Below are 25,508 nucleotides of genomic sequence, written 5' to 3'. Positions count from 1 at the left end.
ATCTTGTTCTCCTCCTTCCTTAGCCTCCTGTACATACTGGGAAAGTCATATTTCAAAAGCATATTGGGGTCTTTGGAAGAGGACAATGCTGTCTTTCTACTTTTCATTGATTAACGCCTTATCTTGACTTGGAAAGCCAAAGTGTCTGGAGGCAGTTAGTAGTTGGTGGTGACATTATGATCAGTGCAGGTAAAAAGAGTCCTAGGTCCAAATTTCCAAGGAATAAAGTCTGCAAGGACCCTTTTTTCCCCACTAATCCATGAGGAAAGGGACTATGTGGATACTGGCCATGGTTGAAGCCCAGCAGCACATTCTAGGAGAATATTAAACATCTTCTGACTAAATTAATGCAAAAAATTCACCTGATATAAGTCTTGAGGATCTAGAATAGAGCCATCTAATAGCACTTTCTGCAATGTGGAAATATTCTATAGCTATCTGTCCAGTGTGTGGCCACATATAGCTAGTGAACATGACACTGTGGTTAGTGTGATCTTTTTAAAATCGTTATTTAATTGGAATTAGCTTAAATGGAAATGTAAACAGCCAACATGGCCAGTGGCCACCCTAGTGGATTGTACAGGTCCAGACCAACCTGCTATTCAGCAGCTAATATTTCTACCTCGGCTCTAGCCTTAGATAGCTCACATTATGATGCAAGCCAGGGCAGCTGGCCTGTGGCAGACTCACTCCCTTCTGCAAGGGGGTGAAGGGTGTGAGGCTGAGCTCTTCCTTCCCCAGTAGCACTCAAGCCAGGGCAGGCTTTAGCTATACTGGTTTTCTAGAATACCTGTAGATACTTTTAAGGGCAAGGTCCCTTAAAAGTATTTTTACACATTCTTCGTGTGTCGCAGTTAGTAATCAAAACCCTTAAAGGACAGGAATGAGGAGAAAGTAGTCATTTTTGCTAAATTCAGTTACCATGAATAGCCCTTGAAGGTCGCGGTGTCAGCTAGGAGGCAATTCTCAGAGAGTGAGAGAGAGAGAGGAGGAGGGGGCCCGCACCCTGCAGCAGCAGCAGGAATGGGAGGGACAGGACAGACATGGCCAAGTGCCCCTCAGGAGCTGCCAAATGATGAGATGTTGCAGGAGGAAGAGAACAAAACCAGTTGGAGGCTGTGGGAAGACTTGGGTATCTTTAACTGAGCAAGTGTGTGGGAGGAAATGTTGGTTTTGGCAGATAGTGATGCATGTAGCACTGGATGTGATATGGCTGAGGTGTTGAAGTGAAGGTGTCTAGCAGGTCGTTAGATATTCCCCACTGCAGCTCAGAGGGGAGGTCAAGAGTTCAGTGGTGTGGCTGCCAAGCTGCTGCAGAATACAAGCTGTTTATAAGGGAAATATGTGTCATCCTCAACTCCTGAGGTTTTGTGCTTGCAGCACCTGAGTCATGAGACCAGTCAGAGGATTTTTTATTTTTATTTGTCTCATCTATTAATGATAAAAATCATCCCTTCTGCCCTCACACGCATTATCTCATTGGAAGATCTCATTGGAATCCTTCATTCAACATGTACTTGTCAAGCTCCTACTATTTGCTGTCACTGTTCTAAGAGGTTGGATGTAGCAGTCAGCAAGACAGAGCACATTAAATAGCGACAAATGCCATGCAGAGAATCAGTACAGACAGAGGTGATGGAGGGAGTGGCGTGGGAAGGGGGCCCTCACACTGGATGGTCTGGGAAAGGCCCACTACAGTAGTGACACTTAAGGCCTGAGTGACAAGAAGTTCCCATCAATGTGAAGATTGGAGCAGCCATTATCAGCAGAGGGAACAGTTGGCAGGAAGAATTTGACGTGTCCAAGGATGAGAAAGACCAACAGGCAGGAGGACAGCTTGCAGTGAGGGGCGGCCAGATAATTTGGAGGGGCACGAGCATGTTGGGCTTTGAGGCTGGGCCAGTAGTTTTCACCTGATGCCAGGTGTACAGAAAGCTACCCAAAGGACTTATATAGGTGATAACACGATCCGATTTCCTTTTTTTTTGAGATGGAGTCTTGCTCTGTCGCCCAGGCTGGAGTGCAGTGGCGTGATCTCGGCTCACTGCAACCTCCACCTCCTGGGTTCAAGTGATTCTCCTGTCTCAGCTTCCTGAGTAGCTGGGATTACAGGTGCCCATCACCACGCCCAGCTAATTTTTGTATTTTTAGTAGAGATGGGGTTTTAGCATGTGGGCCAGGCTGGTTTCAAACTCCTGACCTCGTGATCCGCCTACCTCGGCCTCCCAAAGTGCTGGGATTGCAGGCCTGAGCTACCTCGCCTAGCCTGATTTCCATTTTTAACAGATCACTGATTGCTGCATGGGAAACAACAAAAAAACAGCAAAACCTTTGGTTCTGCAGGCACCAGAACCAAACGTCTAAATGAGAGCCTTGCCTTGGCTGGGCTGGCCTAGGCCACCGCAGGATCCACCCTCAGCTCTGCCTGTCACTGTCCCTTCTCTGGACCTCTGCCTGTACGGAGGCATCATGGTAGATTCAGGGTGCTTACATCCCTCCCTCCTGCCACCCCTGATGGAAGGAGGACACACACACTAAACGTCACCCAGGGAACATTTCTAGTGATGACCATCATTATTCACTGAGAAGTGCTTATGGGTTTTTTTAAATACATATTTTTATCATTAATTCCAGTTAATAATGTTGGGTTTTTTAAATAGGCTTTGTTTTTTAGAGCAGTTTTAGGTTCACAGCAAAATTGTGCAGAAGGTACAGAGAGTTCCTATATACCCGCTCCCGCAGCACATGTGCCACCTTCCCACTATCAACATCCTGCATCAGAGTGGCACATTTGTTATAATCAGTTCATCTACACTCATACATCACTATCACCCAAAGTAGTTTACTTTAGGTTTCACTCTTTGTATTGAACACTCTGTGGGTTTGGACAAATGTATGACATGTATCCACCATTAAAATAACATACAGAATAGTTTCATTGCCCTAAGGATCCTCTGTACTCCACCTATTCGTCCCTCTCTTCCACCTTACTCCTGGCAACCACTGACCTTTTTACTGTCTCCAGTTTTTCTTTTCCGGAATGCCGTATTTGTTGGAATCATACAGTATATAGCCTTTTCAGATGGGCTTCTCTCACTTACTGATATGGATTTAAGGCTCCTCCATGTCTTTTCATGGCTTGCTAGCTCATTTCTTTTTAGTGTTGAATAACATAAACTATTGTCTGGATGTGTCACAGTTTATTTATCCATTCACCTGCTGAAGGACATCTTGGTTCCTTCCAGGTTTGGGCAATTATGAATAAAGTTGCCGTGAACATCTGTGTGCAGATCTTTGTGTGGCCATAAGTTTCAGCTCATTTGGGTACATACTGAGAAGCACGATTGCTAGATCATACGGTGAGAGTATGTTTAGTTTTGTAAGAAGCTGCCAAACTGTCTTCCAAAGTGGCTGTACCTTTTTGCATTCCCACCAGCAATAAGAGTTCCTGATGCTCCATATCATTACCAGCATTTGGTGCTATGTGTTTAGGGCCTGGGCTATTCTAATAGGTGTGTGGCTTTAATCTGAAGTTCCCTAATGACCTATGATGTCGAATGTATTTTCATACGCTTATTTCCCATCTGCATATCTTCTTCAGTGAAGTATCTCGAACTCCTGACCTCGTGATCTGCCCGCCTCAGCCTCCCAAAGTGCTGGGATTACAGGCGTGAGCCACTGCACCTGGCCCAGTGAAGTATCTCTTTAGGTCTTTTGCCTGTTTTTTAATTGGGTTGCTTATTTTCTTATTGTTGAGTTTTAAGAGTTCTTTGTATATTATGGATAACATTCCTTTATCAGATGTGTCTTTTGCAAATACTTTCTCCCAGTCTGGGGCTTGTCTTCTCCTTCTCTTAACAGTGTCTTTCATAGAGGGGCTTTTTTTTTTTTTTACTTGAGGGCCTTTGTGACCCTAAAAATCAGAACTTTACATGTTTAGTTTTTTAAATAAGAAATTACATTAGAAATGGGCCCCATCCCCCAGCCTCACCCTGCCCCACTTTGTCCATAGCGCCAACCCCTGCCCTGTCCCTGGCCCTATAGTATATTAACACTTGATCATTTTTTCAAAAGCTGAAAGTTCAGTGGCTAGTTTTTGAAAAGTCAGAAAATTTCCACAGCATCAAAATAGCTACATGAAAATAGCCTCAGTTTCTAAATGGCCACATCAAAACAATCACATCAAAAGGTCAGGCCCCTGCAAGGGAGACCCAGAGGAAAGCTTCAGGCCTCGGGCTGGTGCTGGCCATAGTTAATAATAATGTTTTGCATATTCCAAAATTGCTGAAAGAATAGATTTTTAAACATTCTCACCACAAGAAAAATGAGTAGGTGAGGTGAGGAAAATACTAATTAGCTTAATTTAATCTTTCCACCATGTAGATACATCACATTGTACCCCATAAATAAAATTATTATTTGTCAGTTAAAAACTAGTAAATGGGCTGGGCGCGGTGGCTCATGCCTGTAATCCCAACACTTTGGGAGGCTGAGGCGGGTGGATCATTTGAGGCCAAGAGTTTGAGACCAGCCTGGTCAACATGGTGAAACACTGTCTCTACTAAAAATACAAAAATTAGCCAGGCATAGTGGCAGGCGCCTGTAATTCCAGCTACTCAGGAGGCTGAGGTGAGAGAATTGCTTGAACCTGGGAGGCAGAGGTTGCAGTGCGCCAAGATCAAGCCACTGCACTCCAGCCTGGGCAACAAAGAGCTAGACTCTGTCTCAGGAAAAAAAAAAAAAAAAACTAATAAATGAAATAAATTATGCTTTAAAACAAAGACCCCATCACAGGACTCAGATTACTCATGGAGTTTCACCTTAGAAATAACAGCCCAATTTTCAGTATTAACCATATTTGGAAAAAATTTACCAAAGAAAAACCAAAACAATATCTAGCAGCCTTCCCAAACAGAGTTCTGTGGGCAGGTGTCCAGCAAAAGGAGGTGCTTTGTGGCCAGGCGCAGTGGTTTACGCCTGTAAACCCAACACTTTGGGGGGCCGAGGCAGGCGGATCACCTGAGGTCAGGAGTTCGAGACCAGCCCGACCAACATGGTGAAATCCCATCTCTACTAAAAATGCAAAAATTAGCCAGGCGTGGTGGCGTGTGCCTGTAGTCCCAGCTACTTGGGAGGCTGAGGCAGGAGAATTGCTTGAACCTGGGAGGCGGAGGTTGTGGTGAGCCAAGCTGGCACCATTGCACTCCAGCCTGGGCAACAAGAGCAAAACTCTGTCTCCAAAAAAAAAAAAAAAAAGAGATGCTTGTGAAAAAGGTGAAGCAGCACTCACAGGTTCTGAGAAGCCCTACTGGAAAGAGGTCTGTTTAGTATCTTTTAAACTTGGAGTTTATTTTTCAATAGTTTCACGATTTTATTCGCTATATCTTGGGCTGCAGGAGTTGGGATCCCTTCCTACTTTTCTCTTCCTCTGATATGCATTGAGGAAGCCTTCCCTTGCCCTATGTTTGAGATGACCTAAGATAGAGACAGCTGTTGTCTCGGCTTCCATCCCTGCTGTCTTGTGTCCAGGAGGCTTTGAAGAGAGCCCGGAGGAAGGCTGGGGGAATAGTTACCCTTCCACTCCCCAGTCCTGTGACTAACCCAGCCAGGTCCAGCCTTCCTTTCCATCTCAAAGATTTAGCTCATTTCTCTTTTCATTTTAAGGTTTCTACCATCTACCAAATTTCTTGAACTTTTCACCACCCTGCACCTCCAGGAATGGACACAGGTGAACTAAGCCAGGATCACAGGCTTTGGTGTCAAGACGGTGCTTTACTAGGTGACGCTGGGCAAAACATTTTCCTTATCTATAAAATAGGATGATACTACCCCCTTCAAGGGATTGCTGTGAGAGGAAAAAGAACTAATACAGGAAAGAGTCGAGCCAGCGCCTGGCACATGGCAATGCTCAGTAGAGGTACTTTCTACTGAAGTGTGTCAGGGTATCATGATTACCTCTGGGGTCTATCCAGCTCTACACTTGCTTGCAGGGTGGTCTGTGTCTCAGAGCCTCAGATTTCTCTTTTGTAAAACAGGGACACTAATAGCTATTCCCTAGGATTGCTGTAATCTGTGAGTTTGGCACCCACACGGTGCCAAAGCAACAATGCTTGCCCTTTTGTTATTAAAATATTTCATTTCTAAACACTACAGAGAAATCCAATAAATGACCAATGCAGGAACATCATTCAAATCCAACCAAATGAAAGGTGTGTCTCACTAAATTACCCTGGGTTCCTCCTTCAAACAACCCTCCTTCTTAAACATCCCAAAGCCTTTGAGCTGTCCTATGTCCCTGAGCGTCAAGAGCCTCAGGCTTCACTTGACTGTGATTCCCACCCTGGTCCAGGAAAGAGAAAGCAAATGAATGGTCTGAGCACTGAGTTTGTGCCAAGAGCTTTACGAACTTTATCTTATTCAAATCCCGTAATAAGTTGATAAGAGAGTTTGCATCCTTCTTAGAAAAGAAAGTTGAGTCTTTGAGCAGCTAACCGAATGTCCTAAGATCACACAGTAGTGGTAGCTGGGATTCAACTAATTTCAAAGGCCATAATTTTTTCCTCCCCTTCCTTTCTATAAGTCACATCCTCTAAAGAGACACTTGGTTCCACAAATTTAAAAATTTACATTAGGGCATTTCTTCACCCAGAGAACCAAAAAGTAAGAGAATAAAAAAACCTTCTACTCTGGGTCAAACTTAACAAATAAAATTGGTCCAATATTTCACAATTTGCAAAATAATTTTCACGTTTGATCTTCACAACCACTATGTAGATGAATATTGTTTTTGCTTTTGTTTCTTTCTTTCTTTCTTTCTTTTTGTATGTTTCATAGAGACAGAGTCTCACTATGTTGCCTAGGATGGTCTTGAATGGCTGGGCTTAAGCAATCCACCTGTCTTGGCCTCCTAAAGTGCTAGGATTACAGGCGTGTGCCACTGCACCTGGCCAGATATTATTTTTGTATTCATGCTTTGCAGACAATGAAATTGAAACTCAGAGAGATCAAGGGATTTGTCCAAGGTCATATAGCTAGTAAGTGCTAGAGCCAGGATTTGAATCCAGAACTAATTCAAAATTCTGCTTTTCTTCCATTACCTGAGTTATTAGATACTCCTCCTGATATATAGCAACACACTAGGCATTTGCAAATGGTATGTTAATTCATTTATTCATTTACTCAAAACTGATTTTGCACTTACTATAGTCAGACACTATTCTAAATACTAAGAATACGGTAATGAACCAAACAGACAAGGGGCATACCCTCATAGAGCTCACATTCAAAGGGAGCAGGAGAGAAAAAGTAAACAAAGAAGTTAATGTTAGACAGTGATAAGGGCTCTAAAGGAAATAAACAGGATGTATCAGTAAGCTATTGCTGCAGAATAAACTGCTCCAAAATGTAGTGGCTTAAACAACAATTATTTATTTAGCTCATGATTCTACAAGTTGTATTTTAAGCTGGGCTCAATTGAGAAGTTCTTCAACTAACCTTAGCTGACCTCAGTTGGGCCTGCTAGCCCAGGTGTTTGTAGCCAGCTAGAAAGTTAACTAGGGGTTAGCTGTACGGGATGATGTTACCACTGGTCCACGTGCCTCCCATCCACCAGCTGGCTAGTCTGGGTTTGGACAGATGGTGATGATGATAAGGTTATAGAGAGAGAAGTACACAGTGACTCTGAAGGTCTGGGCTTAGAACTGCCACACCATCACTTTGTTGCATACTATTGGTCAAAGCAAGTCACAAAGTCCGCCCGGATTCAAGGTGTGGGGAGACAGACACTACCTCTCAATGGGAAGAACTACAAAGTCCATTTCAAAGGGTATGGATACAGGGAGACTATTAATTGGAGACATCAATGAAATTAATGTACCTACAGGGTAATGTGATAGAGAATGGCTGAGTGGTGGGAAGGGAAGGGAATAGAGCTACTTCAGATGGGAGAAGGCCTCTCTGAGGAGGTGACATTTATTCTCAGAGCTGAAGTATGAGAAGGAAGAGCCATTCAAAGCCATAGGAAAGAGCATCCCCTAAGAAGAAGTTATTCTAAAAGATACACTCCCCATAGCAAAATGTCCACATCCTGCACACAGACCTGTTGCATGGTCATATATTAAATAAAGGACTTAGCAGCAAGTACACGGGAGAGCAACATAGTATAACATCAAAATGCTTATCCCTTCACCTCCCCACAACCCCAAATGGCCACTGGAAGCACGCAGATTTTTTCAGTGGCTATCATTTTCATGAAATAGTTGTGGACCCTTAGAGAAATATGTCTCCCAAAATAGAGATGTAGGAAAGAGGAGGATGCAAAGGAAGCAAAGCAAAGGGAATATTAATGAAGAATGAAGATGGGAGAGATTAACAGCAAGAAAGGAAGTGGAGATGGTGAAACAGGCAGAAACATCTTTGACATGTAGTAAACTCTTAATAAGTACTTGTAGAATTAGTGAGTGGATGAGGCCCCCATATGTATATATATGCATGTGTGCATGCATGTGCACATGTGATGGAGGAATAAACGAGGTAAAGGGAAGCAGAGGGAGCCATCACTACTGATGGTGATAGGGAAGCAAACTGACTACAAAGGTTATATTAGATTAGAGCAATGAGTAACACTTCAACAGGTGGCACGTAAGCCTGTTGGGGAAGATTATAGGAGGGAGGAGACGGTATCCTAGAAGGAGTGAACAGCTTGTGGAATGCTCAGAGGCAGGAAGAGGTTTTGTTTTGGTTTGGTTTGGTTTAGTTTGGTTTGAATTTGTGGAAAGATGGAGGTCTTCCAGAGAAAAGAGGACTTTATAGATGAGCTGTTATGGTGAGCTTTATCGAGGGGAGAGGGGAAACAGAATTATTATGAGCAAGACATTGTAAGAAGAAAATAAATACAATTAGAAACTCCAGGAAAAACAAAAGGCTGTATGAGAAATGAATTATAATAGTTCACTGCTTTACTATGCAGTAAACAATTTTACAGTCACTGTACTATAGCAGTGTTTATTAATATTAATAAAAATACTAAATATAACTGTAATGTAAAGATGGGAAGGCAAGTAAGGCAAGTAAGGCTGATGGAGAAATGAAATGTTCATAAATTATTGCAGGAAATAAATGAAGAATGTCTAACATTGATTAGCAAAACACACAGCTAAAAGAATTATTTAAAACCTCCCAGTACAATGCATGGCCCATAGAGCAACACTAGCATCACCTAGGAGCTTGTTGGAAATGCAGAATTTCAGGCCCTGCCCTAGGCCCACTGAATCAACTCTGCCATTAACAAATCCCCAGGGTTTGTGTACTCAGTAAAGTTTGAGAAGCTTGAAAAATTGGTTTGGGGAATAGGACTAGCAGTGGGGAAATTAGAACAAGGAACAGGTTTGTCTTAAGTCTTATTTTATCTTTGTTTAGCCATGGTCATGGTATTTGTTAGTTTGATTTTACAAGTTCCTTAATAATTTAAAAAATAAGTACCTGGGTAGAATATGCTCTTTTTCTCACTAATACTTAATCTTATCTTGGCCCTGGCCCTCAGTTTAGATTAGAATACTCTTTCTAAGACATCACAGCCCTACTTCAGCCTCACTTGCCTTTAGAAGCACCTCAGGCAAACATTGTTCCTCATCTGCCATCTGCAAACTTTGTCATAAAAGCATTTCTCAATTCCTCTGATTATCTGGAATCCCCTCCCCCATCAGCCTGAGAGGAGACCACAGCCACCAACTATCTACAAAAGGTCACAGCATCTGTTGTCTCCCCAGTTAAAAGTTTCTTTAGCCAGTCATCGCTAGCCTGATGGTTCTCAAATTGTGTGCCCCAGACCAGCAGCATCAGTATTACCTGGAAATTTGTTAGAGCTGTGAGGTGCCTCAGACCTAGGAAGGAGAAACCCTACGGATGGGGCCCAGTAATCTGCACTTCAACAAGCCCCCCAGGAAGTCCTCATGCTCACCAACCCATCCCCTGTTCTATTCCTGGGCTGGTTTGTTGCAAATCTCACTACGCTCATAAATTAGCATCTCCTCAGTGAGAGTTTCAGCTTACTAGCCACATTCACAAAGAGTGGAAACACAACCTACCCCACAGATGTTTTCTAAAATGTCCGGACCTCTCCCTTGCCAATCTTTTAAAACACTATTTAAACAAAAGCTTAAATGGGTGTGCCACACACCCCAAGTACTCGATCGACACCACAGCCCCGCTTTGGGGTTTATACTTGTATTTGCTCCATAGCCTCCTCCACATGCATCAGAACACACTCCAGAGAGGATGGAGCTCCTTCCCCTTCCTTTCTGGCCCCTCTGCACCCCTCATTCTTACACCTAATTTTCTCAAGCCCCCAGACTTCAGCTTTCCCCCAAGAGATGCACTGTGGCGATAAATTCTGCTGTGGTTGAGGGTGATTTGATGAGCCTAGGCCTGCCATTCCTTGCTGCCACCTGGCTGCTTCTCCGTCTCAGTCAGTACCAGTAAGCGATGAGCCCCTCAGATAACCCCAGGTGGGGGCCACAGGCTGACATCACTTCCTTACGTGGGCAACTGATAAACACCAGCCAAATCCCAAGCTCCCACTATAGAAAGGATTTCTACAGGAAATAGTTGGCCCTGGGAAGCAAACAAAGCCCTCTGCAGAACATGGAAGCCAGATTTCAGATGCTGGTTGCAAGTCGCTTTTCTTGTTATAAAGCGCCTGGTAGAACTGCCTTTCTTTTCTTTGTCTTTCATCTTTGCCTTTGCAATCTTTGGGGGCTTCACTCCATTTGCTAAAGGTGTGTGGGTGTTAGCGTCACTCTATGGAAAAAAAAAAATGCACATACACATACCACAGACTTTTTTCTCTATTTCTATGCAAGCCATTGCTTTTATGACTTTCTGAAATAAAGAAAAATGTCTAGTATGTTGCCACTTGCTTTTTGCAATTTCTCTTAGAAAAGAACTTCTGCTCCTGCAAAACAAAAATAAAAAGATAACACATATTTTTCAAATGTACAAAAGTTTTCTTCCCAGATGAGCGGAAAAACATATGAAAAGGTGCTCTATCTAGCTAGTAGTAGGAAAATGCATATTAAATAAAAACAATGTTTTCACCCTTCAAATAGGCAAATGATTATGAGTTTAATATCAAGCACTGTGATTGGGAATCATGGCCTCTCACCCATTCCTGAGGGTGCAAAAATGGGTTCAGCCACACTGGAAAGAGATGACAGCAATATCTGCTAAGATACAAAGTTTGCATTCCTTGTATCAAAGCAACTCCATTCTGGCATCCCCTCTGGAGAAATTCAATGCATTTCTTTAAGGAGGCATTGTAACAAAGATCATGGCTGCCTTGCTTATGTGGGTGAAGATGAAATACCACCTACATGTTCATCAAGGAGATGGTGATTACATAAAGGATGGTACTTTCATTCTATGGAATACTATGTAGCCATTTAAAAGATTTAATGTGGATCTACATGTACTAACATGAAAAGATTCCCAGGGCATGTTTCTGAACAAATAAAGCAACTTGTATAATAGATGGTATGTTCAATATGATGGTATTTCTGATAAAAACAAAACACTCAAGTATTATCCATTTGTCTGGGAACATATACATGTTTTTAAGTGCAGAGAAAGCCTTTAGAAGGATTAATATCAAATAGCCACAGTGCTTAGCTCCTGGAAGAAGTCAGGGGGTGGTGGAAGGTGGTGAAGGAGACGTTTCGTTTGTCTGTAATCAACGAGTGCTTTACTATGAGAGTGTTTTCAAGAATAAATTGCTTAATTGTGTAATTAACATTAAATATTTTAGGATTCCTATAAGTATTTCTATCTGTTGAATAACATTGGAAAATCTGTTGCTTGTCTTAAATGTTAAGTAGGCTTTGTATTTGTACAAATATACAATTACTTCTCTTTAGACGTTATTATAAAATCATCCCATTTGTCAAAAGCACTCATTGTTCATCTGATCATCAAGAAGAAAGATAGTTTCTCTGTGTTCAACCACAAACACACACGCACACATGTGCACACACACAGAGACACCATAACTCACCCTGAGGATAGCAATTTCCACCCTATGCCACACTGTGCTACCACCTCAGGATGTCTGAACCACATGCAAGCAGGCCTTTCTGATTAACTGATAACTTAGTTTCCAGGCTTCTGTGCCATCTGATTGTCAACTCATAATTCTAGAGCAGCGAAAACCAAGAGACACCTGACTTGGTGGTGATGCCTGGGTCTGTGGGTGTAGCCTGACAGCCAGGCACCTGGTTTCCTGACCCCAAACCACATAGCTTTCTGCATGCCCTCGTGAGCACCCTTGTAACATGCTACCCTGCCCCTCCTGCCAGGCTGAGCTTGAGAGCGGGCACTGGAGAGAAAGTGGGTTGCCTGGAAGGTTGCTGCTCTGCAGAAATCATTTCAAGAAACATCTTCATTACAACTTTCTAGTTTATACCCCTCGTTTAATGAGGCAGTGTTGTATGACAAAATGACATGGAGAGTTGGAGGAAAATGCAAAAGCAGATGTCATGGGAACTCGAGTACTTTTGTTGACATAACTGGTCTCTCTCCCTCCATGGGCAGACCCACTGGAGGAGCCAAATTGCAATCCTGAGGGAAATAGTTTTAAACCAGAGGATTGATGATGACATCATCTTTCATCTTGGGTGTCATCTTGGATGTCCCAGATTTGGGGGTGACCTCTTCTGTCTGGACCAGACATACCTGAATTTCTTTTTATTTCAATAAGATGGGGATTTTATGGCTCAAAAAAGACACAGACGAATCATTCCCTACCAAGGCCATGCCCAGCCATCTCCAGGCATTACCCACACTGCTTCCAGGCACCTTCCACAAAGGAGGGGTACATCAATGACACAAGGGGGTGTAGGCTCAGAGTTGGCTGCGTTGTCTTAAAAGTTAGAGATGGACCAGAGGAAGTATGCTCCTTCTTATAGCTGTGTCCCATCCCAGGCTAGGGAGGGCAGAACTTGGGGGCCCAGGGTAATATCCAACCACTACTTCATTGAAACGTTAACCGTGTTTTCTAAATGAAATATAGAAGAGCAAGCAAGCATGGCTTTAAGCAAGCATGACTGGAAGGCATGGCGTCTTCTTTTTCCTGCTTCTAGGAAAGTCTTCATGAAATGAAAAATAAAAATTGATTACATTCTGCCTAGTCTAGCATCCCAAGGGTTTCCCATAACAAACATACAGCATCAGTAGACTTGGTTGCCCATGCACTCCTTGCACAGCAGGACTGACCTTGCCAATGGCCTTTATCCATGGTCCTCCATCCCTGAGCAATGCCAGTGGTGATCTTTGTGATCTCGTGCTCTGCCCATCCCTTCCTGCCCATGCACATGCACTGTCTTTAGCTCTTCAGTCAGTGTCACACAAGACCTGCTAGCCTGAGGGACACTCTGCCTTCTCTCTGCTGTGGTCATCATGTGTGCATTTCTTGTCTGACTTTGTGGGAATGCTCTTCAAAGTGGGGATCTTATTAAAATACAGATTCTGAGTCAGTAGGTCTGGGGTGGGGCCTGAGAGTCTGCATTTCTAACAAGCTCTCAGGCAATGCCCATGATGCTGGGCCAGGACCACATTTGGATGTCAAGGGAGAGTCTTATATCCACGTTTGGGAGGTGTGGGGAGAAGGCCTGCCCCATGGTAGCCTTCTAAACAGAGAAGGACCATAAGGGCTTGATGAGACAATGTATCAGAGAGGCTTGGAAACTGTAATATGTTGGGAAAATATCGGCTGTTATTATGATTTTCTATCATGTAGATGATATACTTGCTTTGGAATCAGAGAGAGTTGGGTTTACCCCCCCTACCACTGACTGAGAATTTGAGCAAGTCACTCAATCTTGTTAAGCCTCACTTTTCTTAACTATAAAATGAGAGGCTATTATTTAAACAAAGCTATATTTGCAAATATTGACTCAATACATATTTACATATTCATTTCTCTCTCTGTTGACCTAAGTGAACAAAAGCTTTACATGTGTGTATGTGAGTAACTCACTAAACATTTCTGCTAAATGCTGAGAATCTAGAACCAGAACTTGGCTAAAAATCCACTCTAAAACTGTTTAATGAAACAGCTTTGTTAAGAGTCATCTGGCTCTCTAAGGTTTGAAAAACTTCTCAGGGAAGCCAGAATGATTTATGGTTTGCTACCACAACTCTACGAAGCGAGTGGTTTCAATCAAGTTTCACTTGCACAGGTTCAGTAGAAAGCTGGGGAAAATCCTCTTTTTTTTTTTGCAAAAAAATTAAAATACTTTTTAAAAATTTATATATATATATATTTTTATTATACTTTAAGTTCTAGGGTACATGTGCACAACGTGCAGGTTTGTTACATATGTATACATGTGCCATGCTGGTGTGCTGCACTCTGGATAGCTCTGGTGATGAGAAGGATTCAAGGGCAGCAATTTTCTTTCAAGAGGATTTTCCATTATATATATATAGCATTAAGAGATATACCTAATGGAAAATCTTCTTGAAAGAAAATTGCTGCCCTTGAATCCTTCTCATCACCAGAGCTATCCAGAGACAGAACATGGAACCCATTCCAATGGGGCTGACATTTATCTTTGGCTAATATAGGTTTTCTTGTTCGTTGTCGTTGTTGTTTTGAGACAGGGTCTTGCTCTGTCACCCAGGCTAGAGTGCAGTGGTGCGATCACAGCTCACTGCAGCCTTGACCTCCCAGGCTCAAGTGATCCTCCCACATCAGCCTCCCAAGTAGCTGGGACTACAGGCATGCACCACTGTGCCCAGCTAATTTTTTGATATTTTGTAGAGATGAGGTCTCACTATGTTGCCCAGGCTGGTCTTGAATTCCTGGGCTCAAGGAATCCTCTCACTTCCTCCTCCCAAAGTGCTGGGATTACAGGCATGAGCCACGGTGCCCAGCCTAAGATGAGTTTTCTAAAGAAGTGCTAAATAGTAACAATATAAACTTCCAGCCTTGCCTTTTAATTCCAATTCACCCCAAAGATTCTTTAAGCAAGGTTGATGGATGTGTTCAGACTAGCAGGTGCAAGAAAAAAAAAACTTGAATTGCGGGAATTTGGCAGGAGCCAAGGACAGTTCTGGCACAAGAATGGCCCGGAAGTGCCCATCATTACAAGTTTACTCTCTGCCAGCATTGTCATAAGCAGTTTTTACACCATATTTTAAAATTTTAACAACACCTTGAGAGGAAGATATTATTATTACTCCCATTTACCAAAGGGGAAACTGAGTGAAAGAGAAGGCAATTAACAAATTAATTTAAAAGATGAAAAATGTAACTATCTTTTGGGTTTTTTTTTTTTTTTTTTTTTTTTGAGATTGAGTCTTGCTCTGTCACCCAGGCTGGAGTGTAGTGGCATGATCTCGGCTCACTGCAACCTCAGCCTCCTGGGTTCAAGCGATTCTCCTGCCTCAGCCGCCTAAGTAGCTGGGATTACAGGCATGCGCCACCATGCCCAGCTAATTTTTGTATTTTTAGTAAAGATGGGGTTTCACTATGTTGCCCAGGCTGGTCTCGAACTCCTGACCTCAAGTGATCCGCCTGCCTCAGCCTCCCAAAGTGCTGGGATTACAGGCGTGAGCCACTTCACCTGGCCGCAACTATCTTATTTTTAGCTACACAATGTAAAACCAAATTGTTAACCTACTTAATTGGATCCATTAATTGTTGTGGGATAGCCTCTATGGTGAATACAAGTCTTCTGTGGTATACACAAAGCTGAATATTACAGCACTATTGGTTATATTGAAAGACTCTAAACAACCCAAGTCTAAAATCAATTACTGTAGATCCAGGCAGTGGAAGGGTGTGAAGCCATGGTATGTTTTCAAAGAACTTTTAGTGACATGAAAAAGCCCTCATTATATACTATGAAATGAAGAGGGTAGGCTCTTTTACACATTCATTTATTGATCCAAACTTAGTTATCCCACAATTGCTTTTCCAGCATAGTTCTGTGAATACGGCTGGTGAATCAGGCAGGCTTGCCCTTGTAGAGCTGACTGTATGGTGGACGTGAAACTTTCCTGGAAGAAAAAGCCCCAAAATGTTAACGGTTTTCTTTTTGAAAGTGTAGGGGCTTTTAAATTTTTCGTCTTCATTTTTACATTATTTCAAAATGTTCTATATTAAGCATGTATTACTTTTTTGTAGATTCATTGAGTTATGATTAGCGCACTATAAACTACATGTTTAAAGTATGCAATTGGATAAATCTTGCTGTAGTACACACCGGATCAATCATTAGCACAATGAAGGTGGTGAACATATCCATCACCCCAAAAGTGTCCTTGGACCCATTTGTTCTTCCTTCCTCCCACCACGCCACCACCCCTCGCCACATTCAACCACCGATCTGCTTTCTGTCACTATAGTTTGGTTTGCATTTCTAGAATTTTATATAAATTGTAATACATAGCAAATACTCTTTTGTCTGGCTTCTTTCACTCAGCATCATTTTGAGATGCATTCACGTTGTCATGTGTACCAATAGTTGTTTCCTATTATTGTGGAATAGTATTCGATTACATGGCCTATACCAGTTTGTTATCCATTCATTGGTTTGTAGACATTTGGTTGCCTCTGATTTTCGGTTATTACAGACAACGCTGTTATAAACGCTCAAGTATTTGCAGGAACATATATTTCTTTCTCTCTTGGGTAAACACTCAGGAGTGAAATGGCTGGGTCATATGATAACTCTATGTTTAACTTTTTGAGGAACTGCCAAACTGTTTTCAAATGACTGTATCATTTTTACATTTCTACCAGAAGTGTATGAATTCATCGTTCCCTCTCTTAAAATTACATAAGAACTAAATGTTTACCTCCTGTTATAAAAAGAAAATCCAAAAACTTCAGAAATATAGAGTAAGAAAAGTGAACGTTCCCTTTTATTCCATCCCTTTCCTAGTTCGTCATACATATTTATCATTAAAAGTTTGGTGTGTGTTCATCTTTTCTTTGCAAGAGTCTGTGCATGTGTGTGCATGTGCACGTGTTTGCATGTGGAAGCATGTAGTGCGTGTAAGTGAGATTTTGTGAGCTCTGTTGCTCTAACTCTGGTTTCACTCACTGAACAATGAAGCTTGGAGGTCGTTCCTCATCAGTGCATGTAAACCTCAATCTTTTGAATTGTTGCTGAGTATCCTACTTCAATAAGCAGAGGGAAGAGGTGTTTTAAAATGTGGTTAGAATTCTGTTTACCCTTCCTCTGAAAGAGGCAGGTCTCTTCAACATTTTCTACTCATGTGACAATTAGAGAAGCTCCTTCTTCTCCTCAGGAAAGGCTGCCTGTGGGGAAGGATTGCATTTCTTTCGGTGGATCTGGGTCTTCTGGGAGCAGCACAGGCATGATCACCCTTCTGGAGAGTGATAGAACGGTCAGTGGAAATGTAATCGATGGCCACAAGGTGTGACAGCTCTGCCATCACATTCGGTTTATGCTTGTTTCACGTTCCTCAGAGCAGAATTGCCTTTCCAGGCCCACCATTTGTTCTGGTACTTGGTGGTGAGGAAGCTCACTTTAAGTGTAGTCATTCTGAGAAGGGCAAAAGGGCTTCAACTCTTCAACTTTCAGCTCTGGAAATGAGTAAAACTGGGAGTTTCTTTTTATCATGTTAGAAAATTTACCACATTGGCTGAATGTGGTGAGAAAACCTACTCCCTTGTTAAAACAGACAATAATGCAGCACTCACTTGGTCAGCTAAACAGTTTTTTACTGTCTCCTCATGTGTGTTTTTTTCTCTCTTATATTCTTTTAATAATTAATGATACTAGGACTACATTAAATGGTACTTATTTATCCCTCTCTCAGCAATAACCTGGGGGCTAAATCTTTTACACTTATTAATACATAAAATTAGGACTATATTGTAATAAAGTTGCATATTCTGCACTGAACATTGGCATAAATGTTTTCATGTCATTAAATATTAACCAAATATTAAATCCACATCTTAATTGTTAATGACTTCATAATATTTCAGATATGGACATACCATAATTTATAACAGTTGCCCTGTGGTTGATTTTTACTAGTCGATGAAGATTTTGAGTAGCAATAAGTGAAGAAAAGTTATAAAAATTCTTCATTATGACAAGTGGAAATTAGGTTCTAGTAGCAATATTAAAATTAAATCAGGTATCACGTATTAAAATTTTGTTATCTTCCTATGATAATGCCTTCCTCATTATTTTGAACTAATATGCTACTCTTTTTTACTCTTTACTCTCAAACTTTAGAAAATGTTTCACAAAACTTTTACTCAGTAATTTGATAGCAATTTATAATTACACATTACCTGCTAGTCTCTGACAAGTATGTTGGTTAAATGTCTACTTTTGTTCAACCTTTCCACAGGGGACTTGAACATCACAGTCAGTCTCCCACATAGTGTCCAGCTGTGTGTTATGTTAGAGATATCATGCATGACATTGCCCCCAAAATACATTTCTTAAAAAAAGAACACTTTCCTGCTTGACAAACAACAACATTATCACACCTAAAATTAATAATCATTCTTTAATATCATCTAATAGCCATTATATTATTCAAATTCACCAAATGTTTCCCTGAATGTCCTTCCCAGCTTCTTTGTCCAAACGAGGAACCAATCCTGGACCACACATTGCACCTGGCTTTTATGTCCTCTCTCTATCTTTTAATCCAGCCTCCAGTCTCTTCATGGGTAGCTTCTTATTGCAGCTGCTTGGCCAGTGGCCGATAGAGGCCCCCTACATTGCTTGCCAGTGGTGTCATTTAGCTTGTTCCTCTCTCCCTTGTATTTCCTGGAAGTTACATCTACATATTGATTAGACCCAAGTTAAACATCTTTGGCTAGACTGCGTCACAGGGGATGCTGTGACATCGGAATTCATGACCCCAGGAGACATGGAATAACTGGTTGTCCCACTATTCCTGATGCTAGGATCAACCTTTAGGTGAGGGTGATGGTGGTCTGATCCATCCATTGTACAATTCTGTTTTTCTCCTGAAGACCAGAACCACATCATCATACTGTTATTTTGGCACCATACAGATGTCCAAGTCCCATCAACCACTCCCCTGAGGTCCTCAAGCACAGGTTGATAGTCCTTGCCTGGATCTACATTCTCATTAGGAATTGCAAGATTATGACTTTCATCCCTCTCATTAGGAATTGCAAGATTATGACTTTCATCCCTCTACATTTAGCTGGCATTCTTCAAGCTTTATGTTGTCAACTGGAGCTATTTGTTTACCTTGAAATATAGTTCCTACCTGAAGGACATTAGACGCACTTTTCTTTCAGTTACACAATGTCAAAATAAGACATTGGTATTAGCTGCCTCGAATGAGTTTCTTCTGGCAGTATTCTTTTTGAGTATCATTATGGACTCATGAATATACATTCAATGCATGTGTTTTTATTGAATTATTCTTGGGTCTCATAATACTATTCTCACCAGAAGCCGAAGCAGTCAGAACTGAGTTTGATTTAAAACAAAGTTTCAAAACAAGAGTAGCTCCAAAGATAACATTCTGGAAAGAACTACTTTCCTAGAGAACAAAGGCGAGATCATCTAATAAATTACTGTCATTATTACTTATATCTGTGCTCCCTCCACATCTTCAAGATATGGGAGAATTCCAGAAGAGTGCCTGAGGGAAGGCTGCAAGCCATGAGAGTTCTCAGTACTGGTTGTCAGCAATGTTTCAACTGCGGCTGGCATAAACTCAGATCCAATGTCAAAAGCTAGTAGATCGGCCCATACTTTAAGATGCTTCTAAGCCTCCAAAGCCATTACTTTCTTTTTTCTTACTTACAGCAAGTAAGATTTCTTTCCCACAAAACAGATTGTAGAACCAGGAGGGTCAGAGCCCATGTCAGACGGTCCCTCAGTAAGTCACTGTTTCCCCGCGAGGGTTGGTGGAAGAAGTGCTGAAGAGAACAGTGTTGTTGTTGTTGTGAAAATCACTCCTGAGGAGGATAATGTGGGGAATCCCATCTCCTCCATGCCCTGCATGGTCCTGCAGGTTGCACTTTGATTTTGTCCTGTGTCATTATTGGTCACTTCCCTGGGAAGCAGATCTGTTTGAAGGGAAGCCACCACATCCCAGATCCTCACCTCGTGCATGGCCAAGGTTTGTTCCCCTCCAGTGGAGGCTGAAGGGTTTTTCCAGCCTGGTCCGCCTGTTCCTGGCTGGTACAGATGGAGGATCCAGAGGCTACAATTAATTTGTAAGTTTCTTCAAAGGAAGAGCAAAATACATAAAACCAGTTCACACAGCTTTAAGACTCACTTTACCTCCCAAGAACAGAGACCATGTCTGTTTTCATCATTGTGACACCAGAGTCTAAGATGGTGCCTCACATATATATCAGGTGCTCAATACACATTTGATAAACGAGCTTGATTACCAAAAGTCCATAGCTGGTCGTATATGATTTTTATTTTCTCAGGAAAAATGAGCTCCATAAGAATGACAAAGATAATGACCACCAGGTGGGGAATAAAATACTTTGACAAAAACTCGGTACCTTAGGCAAGCCACATGGCTTTTTTGGATCTTGGTTTTCCAAGGGACAGGTTTGTAATAAATGATATAAACGGCCCTCACAGCTTTTGGCTTCCATAAATAGATTTCATTTTTAGGCAAGGGGTAAGTAAATTCTTCTACTTAGTTACACTAAGAGACGTAAGTTATGAAGCCTAAGAAAGTGGTAGAATTCATATCAGTTATGTGCTTTACTGCTAGTTTATGGTCTCAGCTATGCTCCTACTTATCTGTGACTTTGTCCCTTGTATCTGCAAATAAGCAGGCACAAGAATGCAAACACACACACACATGCACAGAGAGGCACAAACACACATACACACATGCACACATATCTTTGCAAATATAATGCTATAATGCATCATCGCAAGGTCTACTTACTCATAGGACTTCTTTTAAACATTCCCCCACCCCTCCTCAGCACACATTAAAGCTGTAGAAAATGGTTTTTATTGTAGGCTAGCAGCCAGTTAGAAAAACCTTTCAGGAATAAGGCAGGTATATTTGGCTGGCTTCTGACTGAGAAAATACAAACATTCAGCAAACCAAACAGCACTTCTGAGCTTCCCGGGCTTTTGCATTTTAATCACTGTTCTCGATTTTACTCACAATCTCTTCTCTTTCAACATTAAAAATAAATCCTTTCTTGAACTTTTGCCCTCTGAAGTTTTGATCTGGAAGGGAGTTTTTGGGGTTTTTTTTTTTTTTTCGTTTTGCTTCTTCACAGTCTTTCAAAATAATTATAATACGCACAGGCAGTCTCTGTACTGATACTAGGCAGGCTTGGAATAAATGCCACTCCTGGGCCCTCTCTAGTGTCCATCGCCTCTCCTAAGCACATCTGCACAAGGCCAGTGTACTTCGACCCTGTGCTGAATAGAGGTATTTCATTTTCCCTTATCTTCTCTCTAAAAATAATCCTAACTAAAAGACCCAGAAGAAATATGCCCAAATGAGGGTCAAGCACAAACATGTTGGCAATGGACTAGATCAGAAGTCAGTGGGAAGATTTCAGCAGAAAATCTCTCCTAGCAGCAGGAAAAATATGTGATTTTTAAAATTAAGATGGGAAAAGATGAAAATGGTCAACGATTTCGTACTTATTAAACTCCTTGGGTTGGGTTTCCTTGCTGAGGCAACCCTTTAAGAGACTAGGTGAGAATGCAACCTCTTCCTACACTCCAAAGCTCCACCCGGAGCCTGTCCTGTCTTCATCATTCGTTTTTCAAGATGACACTGCATGTTCCATGTGCTCTGTCACATGGTGGCCTCATACTGAAGCATATGAGCCTGGCCTAATTATTTTGACAAAATCTAAATTAATGAGATTAATTTCAGGCAAAGAAAAAGTTTGCCTTCCAAAGGGAACCTCACAATCTTATTAAGAGAAAAGCAGATTTTCCACATTTGCTGGTGTTACTACTTTCACCACCTACCAAAAAACAAAAAAAAAAAAGCATTTATAAGATAAATGTCCATCCACCATCTGAATTACCTTAGGATTCCAAAGTCCTTTCCTTTTCACTGCTGTTCTTCCCAACTAACACACACACATATACACACACACATTCTTGCACATGCCTATATGCATATACATCCCTATATAGACTCATGGGCACACACTCTTCTCATGGCATAATTTCTCGAAAAAAAAAATTCTTGCAAGTATACATTTTATTTATTTTACTTACTTATTTATTTATTTATTTGAGACAGTGTCTGGCTCTGTCGCCCAGGATGGAGTGCAGTGGCGCAATCTCGGCTCACTGCAACCTCCACCTTCTGGGCTCAAACCATCCTCCCACCTCAGCCTCCCAAGAAGTATACATTTTAAAATCTACATTAAATTTTTCTTTTTCTCTCCCTTAAAGTTACAGTGGCTGGTCATCATACTGTGATCATTAGACACTATTAGAGTTGCATTCTATGATTAGTATATACTTAATGCCATTCTATTTCAAATTTCCCAAATTCTTATTTTTCAAAAATGAAGTGAATTTTATTTCAGTTCTGTACATTATTAAGAATGCTATATACGGGCAGATCACTTGAGGTCAGTAGTTCAGGACCAGCCTGGCCAACATGGTGAAACCCTGTCTCTACTAAAAATATAAAAATTAGCCGGGTGTGGTGGTGGGAGCCTGTAATCCCAGCTACTTGGGAGGCTGAGGCATGAGAATCGCTTTAACCTGGGAGGCAGAGGTTGCAGTGAGCCAAGATCATGCCACTGCATGCCAGCCTGGGCAACAGAGTGAGACTCTGCCAAAAAAAAAAAAAAAAAGCCATGTAATGTTCTCTGTGAAAGATCCACTTTCATTCATTCGTTAATTTTTGTCATTTAAAAATGAGAAAACTACTTCATTGGTGTTTTTTGTTGGTGAAAATACCAGCATAGGCCACATTCAGTGGCTCACATCTGTAATCACAGCACTTTGGGAGGCCAAGGTGGGAGGATCAATTGAGCCCAGAAGTTTGAAACCACCGTGGGCAAAAAAGCGAGACGCTGTCTCTACAACAACAACAACAAAATAGTCAGGCACCATGGCTAGTGCCTATAGTCCCAGCTACTTGGGAGGGTGCGGCAGGAGGATCACTTGAGGCCAGGAGTTAGAGGCTGCAGGGAGCTATTATCTCACCACTGCACTCAAGCCTGGGAGAGTCAGATGTCCTTCTGGTAGATATGAATGGAGTAGAATATTTAGACCAGACTTTTAAGTTCATTATTACATGAAAATTATCTCTGCATAGCAAATTTTTAAAAACAGGAAGAGATTAGTTCCCATTTCTGCCTTACATGTTGTGTATCATCAACGAGCACCATCCAGGAGAATAGAAATCCTGCCTTTTGTTTTAGATTCTACTGTCAGTCATTTTTACTTTTACCTGTGAAATAATTTTTACAAGGAGCAACACCTCCAACTATGTCCCTATTTCTTGGACAGCTTCCTAGAGGCCAGAGTTCACAGTGGATTAATCGCAAGGTGAGTAAATAAAATCAACTTCCTCTGAAAACCATAATTTACAACTTTAAGTGAACAAACACCGATTTCTGTGGCAAACATCTCATAACAAATATTTGTATCCTCAAGGTTCAAGTCAACAATTCTTAGAATTATATTTTTAATATGACATTATAGGAAAACTCTTTGCTCTTTTTAATAAAGACAGACTCAACTTTTTGGCAATGAGATACAAGTTCAGATTTAACAAAATTCTCTATCTTTCTCTTTTGGATCTAAACAAAGGCACTTTCAAAACAGTTGTGTCTATAGCTTCTTATTTTCTCAAGATTTCCATTTTTAAAGCATTGAGGTTGCTCATTTTTCATTCTGTAGTTTATAGAGCATATGAGTACAGTTTACAAAATACAGCATGTGATTTTAACTTTAACAAATGATAAAAAATATATTAGGGATATAATAAATTATTTCCATGACACTAGGTAAAAACGTAAATATGTATTATTCAGCTCAGTACCTGTCACTTTGACTGTTTCTGTGTCACCATACTTACCCCAGCATTCCTGTACACTAGTCCTCCAGATCTTCCCTTGACCTTGGAGGTCATATTGAAGGGTTAATTCCCATTCTGGCTACAGTATTTACAAGTATAAGCCTTGTGGAATTTTTCAGAGTAAGGAAGAGCAACACAAAATAACCTTGTGAAGCATGAGATGCTTTTTCTTGATAATACACCCTGACAGCTGTTAAAAAGAACCAAGTATGGTAACATTTATTTTTAATCTACTATTCATATACTTATTTATTCTTCTTGGAAATGGATATAGACAGGATTTTCCTTCTTGAAAATTGAATGTGTAAAGGAGTGAGATCCTGGAAATACTTTTTAAAAATTATGGTAAATTGATTTAATACATTTCTTAAGAAAAGCACAAAATTAGCAGACATTAAAACCAGCATTTCCTTTATAAAATTATCATTATGATTAACCAATTTGAAAAATCACAAAACCCTTTTTTTCCTTACATAGCAGAAATGAAAACCAAAAACAAATAAACTATGGACTTGGGGTGATAATGACTTGTCAATATAGTTCATCAATTGTAACACATGTACCATTCTGGTGGGGGATGCTGATAATAAGGAGTGGGAGGCATATGTGGAGACAGAAGGTTTATGAGAAATCTCTGTACCTTCCTCTCAATTTTGTTTTGGACCCAAAACTTCTCCAAAGGATAAGATCTACTTTTAAAAATTGTCTTTTGGCCTATTTGTCCAACCACATCTCTAGCGGGTTTTAAAAAATGTTTACTTTAAATATTTAAAATTGAGTTTTAGTCTATTAGGCAATTTTGTCAATGTAATTAACTCCTAGGTTGGTATAACAGTCCGAAAAGTCAGGTGTGAGGAAAACATCCCTTTTGTTTTTATTTTTAAATTTAATTTAATTCAAAGTCCTGGGACGTGCAGGTTTTTTACACAAGTAAACGTGTGCCATGGTGGTTTGCTGCACTTATCAACCCATCACCTAGATATTACACCTCACATGAATTAGCTATTTATCCTGATGCTCTCCCTGCCCCCAATCACCACCGACAGGCCCCAGTGTGTGTTGTTCCCCTCTGTGTCCACATGTTCTCATTGTTCAGTTCCCACTTATAAGTGAGAACATGCAATGTTTGGTTTTCTGTTTCTGTGTTAGTTTCCTGAGGATAACAGCTTCCAGCTCCATCCATATCCCTGCAAAGGACATTAACTTGTTCCTTTTTATGGCTGCGTAGTATTCCATGGTGTATATGTGCCATACTTTCTTTATCCAGTCTATCATTGATGAGCATTTAGGTTGAGTCTGTGTCTTTGCTATTGTGAATAGTGCTACAATGAATACACACATGCATGTATCTTTATCATAGAATGATTTCTATTCCATTGGGTATATACCCAGTAGTGGGATTGCTGGGTCAAATGGTATTTCTCATT

The 25,508-nt window shown here is 41.0% G+C and overlaps 1 protein-coding gene and 1 long non-coding RNA gene across 13 annotated transcripts in view, besides 1 other annotated feature; one reads left to right on the top strand and one right to left on the bottom strand.

Moving 5' to 3' along the window:
* LZTFL1 (leucine zipper transcription factor like 1) overlaps positions 1-25,508 on the top strand; it is a 92,409-nt gene that overhangs the window by 33,236 nt on the left and 33,665 nt on the right. For 4 of the 12 annotated variants that reach the window (NR_170121.1, XM_017006645.3, NM_001405926.1 and 1 more), the window contains exon 3: positions 23,511-23,549. The exons of the other annotated variants lie outside the window; for them this stretch is intronic. Coding sequence is in view for 1 of the 4 variants with exons in the window: in XM_017006645.3 (XP_016862134.1) it covers positions 23,511-23,549 (39 nt within the window). In the remaining 3 variants the exon portion in view is untranslated. The remainder of the gene's footprint in view (positions 1-23,510; positions 23,550-25,508) is intronic. 12 annotated transcript variants of the gene reach the window in all.
* Positions 2,044-2,200: a silencer, noted in NCBI's record as "fragment chr3:45921781-45921937 (GRCh37/hg19 assembly coordinates)". NCBI's record gives its function as "represses an EF-1alpha promoter that drives an FKBP-Casp9 reporter gene in an ReSE screen in HepG2 liver carcinoma cells {active_cell/tissue: HepG2}" and the evidence as "EXISTENCE:reporter gene assay evidence [ECO:0000049][PMID:32094911]".
* Positions 15,918-17,535, bottom strand: LOC124909374 (uncharacterized). The gene is made up of 2 exons (XR_007095900.1): positions 17,234-17,535; positions 15,918-16,053 (listed from the first exon to the last, which is right to left on the bottom strand). It is a non-coding gene; the product is annotated as an uncharacterized LOC124909374 (long non-coding RNA).

Source organism: Homo sapiens, chromosome 3 (genome assembly GCF_000001405.40).
Source record: "Homo sapiens chromosome 3, GRCh38.p14 Primary Assembly".
Classification (NCBI taxonomy): domain Eukaryota; kingdom Metazoa; phylum Chordata; class Mammalia; order Primates; family Hominidae; genus Homo; species Homo sapiens.
This window is presented reverse-complemented; position numbering and strand designations above follow the sequence as displayed.